At 41.0% G+C, this 13214-nt stretch overlaps 1 protein-coding gene across 30 annotated transcripts in view; it reads left to right on the forward strand.

The window, feature by feature from the left end:
• The window catches only part of ITSN1 (intersectin 1), a 257361-nt gene that overhangs the window by 83167 nt on the left and 160980 nt on the right, over positions 1-13214 (forward strand). For all 30 annotated transcript variants that reach the window (XM_017028428.2, NM_003024.3, XM_017028431.3 and 27 more), the window contains one exon: positions 9377-9537. In XM_017028428.2, the coding sequence (XP_016883917.1) occupies positions 9377-9537 (161 nt within the window). The remainder of the gene's footprint in view (positions 1-9376; positions 9538-13214) is intronic.

The following is a 13214-nucleotide window of genomic DNA, read 5'->3' on the forward strand; positions in this document are numbered from 1 at the left end:
GACTATGTATATTAATTAAAGATGGTAATGTGGCAATCTTAGATTGAATGAATCTTTAATTTTTTTCTTACGTTTTGCTAAATAAATTTGTGATGGCGTATTTTACTATCAAAAATGTCTGTAACTCTCTTTTCCCAAAAGAAATGTCTTTGAAAAGTCATTGGAAATTTCATGAACCACTGATATCCTGCCCAGATGATGGAATAATGCAGTGCAAATTATGAGTTTAGCAAGATCTGCCTTTCAACTGAGCTGATTTGATACTTATTCACATAGTAACCCTGAGTAGTACTTGATCTCTTAAAGCCTAGGTTTTTTTGTTTGTTTGTTTGTGTTTATGTTTTGAGACGGAGTCTTGCTCTGTTGCTCAGGCTGGAGTGCAATGGCACGATCTTAGCTCACTGCAACCTCTGCCTCCCAGGTTCAAGTGATTCTCCTGCCTCAGCCTCCCAAGTAGCTGAGATTACAGGTGCCCACGACCATGCCCGCCTAACCTTTGTATTTTTAGTAGAGACAGGTTTTCACCATGTTGGCTAGCCTGGTCTCGAACTCCTGACCTGAAGTGATCTGCCTGCCTCGGCCTCCCAAAGTGCTAGAATTACAGGCATGACCCACTGCAGCCGGCCAAGCCTAGGTTTTTAAAATTGCAACTAATAATAGCTGATCTAAAGAAGCAGCTCCCTCCAACCCCCATACTATTTTTATGTTCTTCTGTGATTTTTCTGGTAGGGTCCCAGGGTAAGTCCTTACTCCTTTTGGTAGACGGAAGAATGGGTTTGACTCTGAAGTTTTAGGCAGTCCTTGTGTCAGTCATCTGGGGAAGAAGATAATTTTTTGCTTTTTTGTTTGTTTTTGAGACAGGGTCTTACTCTGTCACCAAGACTGGAGTGCAGTGGCATGATCATAGCTCACTGCAGCCTCAATATTCTGGGCTCAAACAATCCTCCGGACTCAAACAATCCTCCCACCTCAGCCTCCTGAGTAGCTGAGTCTACAGGCATACACCACCATGCCTGGCTAATTTTTGTATTTTATGTAGAGATGGGGTTTTGTCATGTTGCCCAGGCTGGTCTTGAACTCCTAGATTCAAGCCGTCTGCCCGCCTCAGCCTCCCAAAGTGCTGGGATTATAGGCATTAGCCATCACATCCAGCAAAGAAGAGAAGTTTGGATTAAGAATTGGAAACTGTGTCTAGTTTCTCTCTCTGAGCTTTACTTACTTTGTTCTGGACTTTGTTTCAAATATTTGAGTGATACGAACTGATGGACAGTATATGTTAGAAACCTTTATTATGTTTTATTTCCATGTAGAAACTATATTCCAGTTAACTAATTTGTTAACTTTCAACTGTAATCTGTTAATGCTTTGGGGACTCCTTGTCTCTCCTGGCTGATTTCCAATTAAGAATACAAGAAAACCTTAATTCTCGGAGGATGGAGTCAAGTCAGTGTGTGTCATGCCAAATTATAACCGTGGCCAAAGATGGTACATCTTCCTAGAAATTGTCTTATTAATAAGGAGCTGGAAGGAGGTTGGCAGATATCCTTTTGGCAATTGAAGTGCTTAGAATTTTTTCAACTTTGCTATGATGTGGAGGGGAGGAGAATAAAGCAGTGGGAATAGACAAGAGCCAGAAGGTACAGGAAGGAAGAAGAGACGGGGTGAAGAGGCTGGATGAGGGCTCTGGAATCTGAGACGGAGGGCCAGCAGAAATGGAGAGAAAAGAGGGAGTGAGGGAGCACTACCTGGAAATGGGCCCTGAGAGGAAAGAAGGGAGCCAGACACATGAAGGCAAGGATTAGATCAACTTTGTGATCTGGTTCAGAATGGGTGTCAGGGCAAACAGCCATATAGTCATAGTTTGTACTTTCTTAAGACACTCCTGAGTATGTGTCAGAAGGGCCTTCAGCCCCAACAAGATCAATTTGCTAAACTCATACAAAAAAAAAAAAAAAAAAGAATAAGCACCCTGGACTCTTGATCCCCTCTCCTCCATCCCTCATTCCTGAGTCTTTACCATCCAGTAGCTCATGGCGTTGAACTAAGATGACATCTTAGTTACCTGGCTGCCCAAACCAACACCTGGGCACCGTGCTTGATTTCCCTCTTTTCTTCACCCTGCATACCCAGTCCATCAACGTAATTGCATTTACGGACTTTATCCCCAATCTGGCCACTTCTTTCCTACTGCTACCATCCTAACCTGTCATCTCACCTGGGCCCACTGTTCGAGCATCTGGACTGGGTTCTCTCTTTCACACTTGCCCCTTTAGAGTCTAGTCTCCAAACAGCAGCTGGAATTTTTTTTTTTTTTTTTTGAGACAAAGTCTCACTCTGTCGCCCAAGCTGGGCAGTGGCGCAATCTGGGCTCACTGCAACCTCTGTCTCCCGGGTCTAAGTGATTCTTCTGCATCAGCACCTTGACTAACTGGGATTACAGGTGCACACTACCATGCCTGGCTAATTTTTGTATTTTTAGTAGAGACGGGGTTTCACCATGTCAGCCAGGCTGGGCTCGAACTCCTGACCTCAGATGATCCACCTGCCTCGGCCTCTCAAAGTGCTGGGATTATAGGCATGAGCCACCGCACCCGGCCAGGAATAATCTTTTGAGGAGTGCAGTGGTGCGATCTCAGCTCACTGCAACCTCTGCCTCACAGCTTCAAGTGATTCTCCTGCCTCAGCCTCCCGAGTAGCTGGGACTACAGGCGCGCGCCACTATGCCCAGCTAATTTTTGTATTTTTAGTAGCAGGGTTTCACCATGTTGGGCAGGATGGTCTGGATCTCCTGACATTGTGATCCGCCTGCCTCGGCCTCCCAAAGTGCTGGGATTACAGGCTTGAGCCACCCTGCCCAGCCTTCTTCCTGTTCTTTAAATGGGCCAGGTTTCTCCTTGCCTCAGGGTCATTGTACTTAGTGTTTCCTCTTCCTATAATTCAGTTGCTCTAGTTCCTCACATCGCAGGTTCATTGCCTTTCAGGTTTCAGTTCATATGTCACCTCCCCAAAGTGGCATTCCCTGACCAGCTAGTGTAAAGTGGTCCCCTCTGCCCACCTCTTTCCCTTTACCTTGGTAGCACTTATCACCATGTAAAATAATCTGGTTTGTTCTCTTGTTAGTTCTGCTTGCACTAAAATATAAGCTCTGTGGTGCTAGGAACTGTGTCTTTTTCATAGATATAACCCCAATTTCCAGATAGATGCCCAGCCCCCCACTCCCCCCTGCCCCATAATTGGTTTTTGAATGAATGAGAATGAATGACTGGATTAGTCTGCACTGCTGCTGGGTCTCACCTCCAGCCCAAGGGGCAGCAGGTGAGAGATGAGCAGCCTGAGGCCAGGCTTTGTGGATGAACTGGGCTCCTAAAGGAATCTGTAGGTGCCAACACTGCAGGGAATGAGGTGGGACAAGAGGAGCCTGGCCTCATCCCTTCATCCTGTAACACACACAAAGTAGTTTCAGAATTGTTACATTCACCTCCACTACAAACAACAAATTTAGGCCCAGTGCAGTGGCTCATGCCTGTAATCTCAGCACTTTGGGAGGTCGAGGCAGGAGGATCACTTGAGCCCAGGAGTTTGAGACCTGCCTGGGCAACATAGTGAGACCCCGTCTCTACTTTAAAAAAAAAATTATCCAGGTATGGTGGCACATGCCTGTAGTCTCAGCTACTCAGAGGATGGGGTGGGAGGATCACTTGAGCTGAGGATTCAAGCCTGCATTGCGCTATGATTGTGCCACTGTACTCCAGCCTGGGCAACAGAGTGAGACCCTGTCTCAAACAAACAAACAAATAAAAAAAAAAAAAAGAACCTAGTAAGTAGTGTAAACCAAAAAGTATCTGAGACAAGAGGTCTCAATCATTTTAGGAGTTTATTTTGCTAAAGTTAAGGACATGCCGGGAGGAAATAAGCACAGAATCACAGAAACTGTGCTTTTCTCCAACGATGATTTTGATGGCTTCAGTATTTAAAGGGAACAGGTAGGCTGGAGGGCAAAGAGGGAGGATATGGTAATCCATATATTGCCAGAGAAAAGGAGCAGGCAGGGGAATAGTCAGTTAGGTAATAGTAAATCAGTAAAGTGCTCAGTAAGTCGGCACTTTACATAAGATAAAATGGAACATAAAGTAGCCTGTAGAGGTGTTTGACCTTTTATTTGTAGCTCCCTGCTTAGGAACAAAGGGACTCAGCTTTCAGGGACTCAGCTTTCAGCTTACTTTTCTACCTTTTGCATAGTGAATTGAAGTCCTGCGTTTTTATTTTCCTTTCACAGTAGATTTCAAGATTACTTTGTAGTTCCTTTTGTTTTTAAACAGAGGACATATAAAGTACTATGTGAAGTTACTTGGACTAGGCTTTTTTTTCTACCTCTTACGTGGATATGTTAGTTATTTATAATATGATTAGGTTTATTTTCATTTTTATTTAATTTAGATATGCCTCCTCATCTTTGTGGACTTAATTTTATTATTTAAATACATAACAGATTAAAAAGGTTCTAAAAACCGAAACTAACAAAAAGGTGTGCTCAGACAAGGTCACTCCCTCTTCTATCCCTTTACCCTGTTTCCACCCATTGTATTAGTTTCCTGTTATCCTTCATTTATTTTTGTTGGAAAAAAGCAGGTACATAATGTATATAACGTGTATGTATTCATATTTAAATTACTTCCTTTCCTCCTTACATTAAGGTAACCTGCTATAAATGCTCTCTGTTCTTTTTTTTTTTTTTTTTTTTTTTTTTTTCTGGAGACAGAGTCTTGCTCTGTCACCCAGGCTGGAGTGCAGTGACGTGATCTCGGCTCACTGCAACCTCCATCTCCTAGGTTTAAGCAACTCTCTGCCTCAGCCTCCTGAGTAGCTGGGATTACAGGCACGTGCCACCATGCCCAGCTAATTTTTTGTATTTTTAGTAGAGATGGGGTTTCACCATCTTGGCCAGGCTGGTCTTGAACTCCTGACCTCATGATCCACCCTTCTCGGCCTCCCAAAGTGCTGGGATTACAGGCGTGAGCCACCGTGCCCAGCCTGTTTTTTTGTTTTTGTTTTTGTTTGAGATGGAGTCTTGCTCCGTCACCCAGGCTGGAGGTGCTATCTTAGGTCACTGCAACCTCCGTCTCCCAGGTTCAAGCAATTCTCATGCCTCAGTCTCCCAAATAGCTGGGACTACAGGCGCCCGCGTGCCCAGCCAATTTTTGTGTTTTTAGTAGAGACAGGGTTTCACCTTGTTGGTCAGACTGGTCTCGAACTCCTGACCTCAGGTGATCCACCTGCCTCGGCCTCCCAAAGTGCTGGGATTAGAGGCATGAGCCACCGCGCCCAGCCGTAACTACCATATTTCCATAAATTTCTTAGAATTTTCATTACCAGGGATTCCCCACAGTTATGTTTATTGAGAAAAGCGTTTTTTGAGTATCACGACATTTTCAACTAAATGTTGGGATTGTCGTATGTGGTTTAAAGTCAAGTCCCTAGAACCTCATGGTTAAGTTTCTTCTCCTCACCCATGAAAACACTTCTGTAGGACACCTTTAGAGTCTAATTAAGCCATTACCTAAAGTCTTCTCCCCTAACCTACTCATTATCCCACACTGGATATTCCTGTTTCTCACCAGAGACCATACTGGGCAGTGGTGTGGGGAACAGGGAGTGGGCACCTGCCTGACTGATTGATTGGTTTTAGTGTGCATGTTGATGTTGATTTTTATTAATGGGAACTCTTCCCCACCAAACCGTTTTAAATAGTTGCGTATCTTTTAAAAAACTACTTAGCAAAAGAAGGAAGTTCACCATTTCATTTTATTTACTTAGTTTCCTTTATAAAACCTGAAAGGTAGTACAAAAATAAAGCAACCAGAAGCCAGTTTCATTTATGAGCATAGATCCAAAAAAGTCAAAATCTTAGCAAATAGAATTTCACAATGTATGAAAAGAATACACAATGACCAACTTTATGCCAGAGGTGCAAGATTGGTTCAGAGTCGAAAAATTCTATCAACATTAGTCATTATTTCAGCAGATAAAAGGAAGAAGAAAACTTGTGATCGGATTGGTAATTACAGATTAGGCACCCGATGAAAAATACAGTAACCATTTCTAATAAGTAGAAAGGAAACTACTTAAATATGTGAGACTACTATCCATGAAAAGAGTCAAACTCTGTAAAATATTTGAAAAGGTTTATTCCAAGCCGAATATGAGTCACCAATGGCCTGTGACACAGCCCTCAGGAGATCCTGAGACCATTTGCCCAAGGTGGTTGGTATATAACATGGTTTTATACATTTTAGGGAGACATAAGACATCAATCAATATATGTAAAATGTACACTATTTCGGTCTGGAACAATGGGACAACTGGAAGCAGAGGCTTCCAGGTCATACGTGGATTCAAGAGTTTTTAATTGGCATTTCATTGAAAGAGTTATTATCCAAAGAGCTGGAATCAATAGAAGGGAATGTGTGGGTTATCATAAGTGGTTTTGGAGAACAAAGTTTTGTCATGCGGGTGAAGCCTCCCGGTAGTAGACTTCAGAGAAAATAGATGGTAAATATTTCTTATCAGACTTTAAGAGCCTCCTTTATCAGTCTTAAGGCCTGTGTTGATGCTAATGCTGGTCAGCTGGGCCTGAATTCCAAAAGGGAGGAGGGTATAATGAGGCATGTCTGACTTCCTCTTCCCATCTTGGCTTGAACTAGTTTTTCAGGTTAATTTTGAAATGCCCTTGGCTGAGATGAGGGGTCCATTCAGATGGTGGGGGGCTCAAAATTTTGTTTTCAGTTTACATTACTTTCCAGAAATCACTACCAACTGTCATTCTAAACAATGAACTCTATTAAACTATTAGCTCTAGTAAATCTACTGTTTCATTTAAACTCAGAACTGAGCAAGAACGCATTCAGTAATGTCTTAGAAGGCAGTAAGACCAATAAAAAAGATTGGCCTAAATATTGGAAAAGAAAGATAATGCTCATTTTTTTCTAGTTATGTGATTGTATACTTAGTACACCCAAGAGATTTTAGTTTTAAAACATTAATAAGAACTTGTAGGAGTCTGGTAGGATAGCTAAATACAGCCTAAATAATTTTTTAAAATAAAAAATGTTCTCTGTGCTTGAAATAAGCACCTAAAAATGGAAATGGGGGGAATGTTTCATCTAAAATCTGGCAAAAATGATAAAATTCTTCAGAATACATTTAGCAAGAAAAGCATATTATATGAAAAAAGTGATACAATTTTATTAAAGGAAATAGTATATTTGAACAACCGGAAAGATTGTCTTTTCTTTGGTTGGGTAAACTATTGGTGCAAAAGCAATTGTGGTTTAATCAATTCTCCAAAAATCCCCTTCTAAGGCAGTTTTTGGATCCCAGTAGGGTTGTTTGTATAACAGATAAAATAATCTAAATGTTCATAGGAAAATAGACACCCATGAATAACCAAGGGGGAAAAAAAACCTTCCCAGACCTTCCCGGATCACAATATACCAGAGAGCCAGTGTGATCAAATCATTGTAATATTGACCTGGAAATTGTTCAGTCAGAACAGATAGTCCAGAAATAGTTCTCACTTCATATGAACATTTGATACATGATAAAAATGTATATTAGTTCAGTGAGAAGAAGAGGGATTGATTAATAAATATTACTGGGAAAGCTAGGAATCCATGTAGAAGAAATGTGATTGGACCCTGGAATAACTCCCCCACCCCTACCCATAATTATTGGTTTAAGGATTGAAATGAAATAAAATAATACAATGTTAGAAAATCAAGGACTAACAACCTTCTAATCATATGATAAAAGAAATATTTTATATACAAAAATTTAGAATTTTTATGCCGTACATATACATAAATCAACAAATAATGAATTTTTAAAAGTCTTTCAGCAGTCAGCAGATAAACAGTTAATTTGTGATACACTATGAGCTCTTATAAACTAACAACAAAAGACATGCAATATATAGAAAATTTGGCAAAGGATTTGAATAAGCAGTTCATAGAAGTGCAAATCCAAATGGCCACGAAATACAGAAAAATGATGCTCAGGTTCACAAGTAGTGAGAAGAATTCAGATTCTGAATTCTTTGCTGAAGGGCCCATGACTACAGGAGAATGGGGAACTCCTATCTGAGGCAAAAAGGTTTCTGCAACCACAGAGCTTTGTTTCCTGCGTTATGATCCTTATTTTCTAAAATGTGCCAACTTTTACAATCTTGATCACTTTTAGAGATTTTTTTATCTTTGTCTTATGCCATACTTTTTATTGTGTTACATGTTTTCTTTCTTTGAGTTAATTCCAGCTATGCAGAATTGTTTTCTGTGTAACTTAATTTTCTTTTGTGAACACTGTCCGGATATGGCTCAGTCTAAAAGATCATGGTATTTTAATTGAACTGTCTTATTTAGATCTTTCAAATACATTTTTCATAATATTGGTTTAAAAAAATCCTCATGCTTTTAATATCTGGATTAAAAGAAATAAAATCTGAATAAAACTTTTTTATGCAGAAGAGGTTAAGTCATGAATATGCACAGTTTTGATGATATAATGTAGTTTCCAGTTACAAGGACAAACTTTTGCTTACTTGATCTTAGCCAAAAGGCCGAGAAGCGATTCCTTTTGCTTACTCTTCTTTGAGAAAATACTTTACATTAAAGCTCATTACAGTTTGCACTTGGACCGTGTATATTTGAGTACCATTTTCAAATAGCAGACACATTTTGTAAGCTAACTTACAAAATTGTTGAGTGATATGGGGCATGATTCTAAAGAAAAGTTAGTTTCAAGAGCTTTAGAGGTTTAGTAGCATTATAGTTGAGTAACCCTAGCATAGCATAAGTAGGTAGCATAGCATACTGTGTCATGTTCCCACATTGAGGTTTGTAGAGCTCTACAAAGAATGCAATCTAAGTATCTCTAGCAATATTAACATTCCGCTTCTAAATCTTTTTCTTTTCTAATAGCTTTATTGTGAAAGAATTCACATAATAAAATTTACTCGTTTAAAGTATCTAATTCATTGGTTTTAGTTTATTCACAGAGTTGTGCGACAGTCACTATTAGCTAATTTTAGAATGTTTTCATCACTTCAGAAAGAAACCCCTTTTGATGTCTAAAGTACAAATCCTCACACTGAGGCTGAAAATTACCTGCTAAAGTGGCAGAGTGAAAGATATTTTATGTTTATATAAAACTTGGCCAGTATTTACAGGCTATTCCCCATAGTTTGGTAAACAGTTATGTTTTCTGTTGTTGTCTCTAGGGGTAAGAGTGCTAATTATTTTGTTTTCGTGTTGGTGGGAGTGGTGGTTTTGGAAAGGTTCTTTTATGGTCACAGTTGTTCTCAGGCCATGCTGTTGGTTTGCAGGGCACTAGCTGACATGAATAATGATGGAAGAATGGATCAAGTGGAGTTTTCCATAGCTATGAAACTTATCAAACTGAAGCTACAAGGATATCAGCTACCCTCTGCACTTCCCCCTGTCATGAAACAGCAACCAGTTGCTATTTCTAGCGCACCAGCATTTGGTAAGTCTGAAAATGAATTGGTTTCTGTATTTTCTTGTATATTTTAAAAATAAATGTTTTCCTTTTTTTCCCTCTCGGTTTATAACATTATGAAATTCTAGGAGGTAATTCTGTCTGAAAAATGATGGCCCCCTGCAGGAAGATAGTGCTGGGGAGAAGAAGGAGCATGTTCACATTTGAACCCTGGGATGTAAAGTAATCAAAATGAAAGCAGAGATGCAGGCCGCCAGTCAGGGGAAAAGGAAGAAACTTACAGTCCGCTGCTGCAGCTTCTGGGTTTTTTTTTTTTTTTCTCTTCCATTATCCTTCAGGTTGTTGCATACTTCCTTTTGATTTTCGGTTTCCATAATGTCTGTTTCTCCTTGTGCATAAACAATTCCTTTGGATTATGGCATCTAGAAATATATATATTTTGAATCACAGTACTGAGTCACTTGGCCACATTAAATTCTTTCTTAGAACAAAATGGAATAGAGAAAAAATAAACATTGTTATCCTGATTAAAAACCTAATTCCAGCCGGGCATGGTGGCTTACACCTCTAATCCCAGCACTTTGGGAGGCTGAGGCAGGTGGATCACCTGAGGTCAGGAGTTCGAGACCAGCCTGGTCAACATGGCGAAATCCCATCTCTACTGAAAATATAAAAAATTAGCCAGGTGTGGTGGTGCGCACCTGTAATCCCAGCTACTCGGAGAGGCTGAGGCAGGAGAACCTGGGAGGCAGTGGCTGCAGTGAGCCAAAATTGTGCCACTGTACTCCAGCCTGTGCGACAGAGCAAGACTTCGTCTCAAAACAAACGTGATTCCATAAAAAATTATCTTTCAACCAGGTATTTTTCTTATAAGCTAATTGATTAATTAGTTGACTGAGATCAGTAGTTCTGATTTCTGTTCTCATTCTAGACTTTAGGTTAATTTGAAGATCACAGTAATAAAATCTAACATCTGATTCATGGGGAGGTTCTTTAACAGTTTAAAACAAAACATGAAAATTGTGGCTAGAGTTTCTTTTCATCTCTTCATCCTCAGATAGCTGATGATAGGTGATAAAGTGAAATAGATTTCGGAGGGGGCAGTCAACAGTAATTCAGGGTGTCTCTGATATAATTAATGATAAGCTAAGATACAGAAATACTCTGGTTTTACTTACTAGGTTTCCTATTAAAAACAATGTATTGCCTTTCTTTTAGTAAGTTTTAGCCACAAGGCTGGTTTTTGTAAGGGGAAAGGTTTTGGAAGATTTTTAGGCAAATAGGATAGTGGTCCAAGAAAAGAAAGAAAAATCCATATATGAGCAAAGGCGAGGAAGAGCAGAAGTGAACACTGCAGCAGCCTCCACATGACTGGGGCCGTTGTTTGTCTTGTCCAGTGTGTGCTCACAATGTTTAGCCTTTAGTTAACCAGCTAATTTAAGTGGAACTTGCTCTGAATCCCTGAAGATCTCTGTAGCCAATCTTTGGTCAGGACCCAGGCGTTAAAATAATTCAAGGGTGTTTGGGGTCGAACACAGTGGCTCATGCCTGTAATCCTAATGCTTTGGGAGGCCAAAGCAGGAGGATTGCTTGGTCCCAGGTGTTGGAGACCAGCCTGGCAACATAACAAGGCCTCGTTGCTACTGAAAATTTAAAAATTAACCAGGCATAGTGGTGGGTGCCTATAGTCCCAGCCACTTGGGAAGCTGAGACAAGAGGATCACTTGAGCACAAGAGGTCAAGCCTGCAGTGAGCCAAGATCACACTACTGCACCCCAGCCTGGGTGACAAAGTGATACCCTGTCTTAAAAAACAAAAACAAAAAACAACGGTATTTGGTTTTCTTTTGGCTTTCTTCCAATGCTACAAGAAGAAATCTCATAGTGGAGAAAAGGTCAAATGACTAGAGGCACCCCATTTCTCCTTTTTCTCTCAAACCTGGGGTCAATAATTTTTCCTGTACCATTTAATTCATTTTCTCTTATTCCATTCTGCCATCAGAATTTCAGTTGTGGAGCTATTGCTGATTTAGTTTCAGGAGGTTGTGACCTTACTGCTGAGAAAGTTTTACAGTCGTTAAGTAACCTGCTACTGTTAAACCTGCCAGGATTTCTGACCTAATACTCTGCCAGGCAGCCCATCACTCTTCCCCCCAGACTTCTCCCTGTCTTTCCTCACCACATTGATGTTCTCAGTAAATGATTTTGATGAGGCTAAACCATGAAGGATATCAGAACATAGGAGAAGTTACCAGTATATGATCTTGATCAAGTTTACTTAAGTATTTTCTAGTTCTACCTCTCAGCTCAATCTAGGGTAAAATACATATATATATTTTATAGTTTGTTGAGCCACTTGAGAATAAAATAATTTATTACTATTGTCATTGTTTTATTTATTTATTTATTTATTTTGAGACAGACTCTCACTTAGTCGCCCAGGCTGGAGTGCAGTAGCATGATCTTGGCTCACTGCAACCTCTGCCTCCCGGGTTCAAGCAGTTCTCCTGTCTCAGCCTCCCGAGTAGCTGGGACTACAGGGACATGCCGCAACACCCAGCTAATTTTTGTATTTTTAATAGAGACAGGGTTCCACCATGTTGGTCACGCTGGTCTTGAATTCCTGACCTCAGGTGATCCACCCACCTCAGCCTCCCAAAGTGTTGGCATTACAGGATGAGCCACTGCACCTGGCCTGCTTTCTAATTAATATTGAAAATTATTGGTTAGGTGTGGTGGCTCATACCTGTAATCTCAGCACTTTGGGAGGCCGAGGTGGGCAGATCGCTTGCGCTCAGGAGTTTGAGACCAACCTGGGAAACATGGCAAAACCCCATCTCTACAAAAAATACAAAAATTAGCTGGGTATGGTGGTGTGTGCCTGTAGTCCTAACTGCTTGGGAGGCTGAGGCAAGGGGATGGCTTGAGCCCAGGAGGTGGAGGTTGCAGTGAGCCAAGGGAGATCGTGCCACTGCACTCCAGCCTGGGTGACAGAGCCAGACCCTATCTCAAAAAACAAAACAAAACAAAAATCTGACTCTGCATTTCCTTGCCCTTATATATAGTATGTGCCTTCACATATAATATTTGATCACAATGATAACCCTAAAAAGTATGCAGACTGTATTAGCCCTGTTATATAAATGAGGGAACTGAGATTCTCAGAAATTGAACATTTTGCTTAAGGCCATATTTCTAACAAAGGAGATAGAACCTGTCCAAAGCTACCATTTATCTAAAGGCGAGATGGAGTCTCACTCTGTCGCCCAGGCTGGAGTGCAGTGGCATGATCTCGGCTCACTGCAACCTCCGCCTCTCGAGTTCAAGCAATTCTCCTTCGTCAGCCTCCCGAGTAGCTGGGATTACAGGCACCCACCACCACACCCGGCTAATTTTTCTATTTTTAGTAGCGACGGGGTTTCACCATCTTGGCCAGGCTGGTCTTGAACTCCTGACCTTGTGATCCACCCGCCTCGGCCTCCCAAACTCCTGGCATTACAGGCATGAGCCACCGCACCCGGATGGCTTTAGGTTTTTTAAAATTACCTTCTCCGTGCCTTCATTATCACCAAACTAACTGGGTGACATGACGTGTCACTCTTCCATGGTTCCTTGTCTGCATGGGTTTTTTGTTTTGAGACAGGGTCTCACTCTGTTGCCCAGACTAGAGTGCAATGGCACGATCATAGCTCACTGTAGCCTCCA

This window comes from Homo sapiens, chromosome 21 (genome assembly GCF_000001405.40).
Source record: "Homo sapiens chromosome 21, GRCh38.p14 Primary Assembly".
In the NCBI taxonomy this organism is placed as follows: Eukaryota; Metazoa; Chordata; class Mammalia; order Primates; family Hominidae; genus Homo; species Homo sapiens.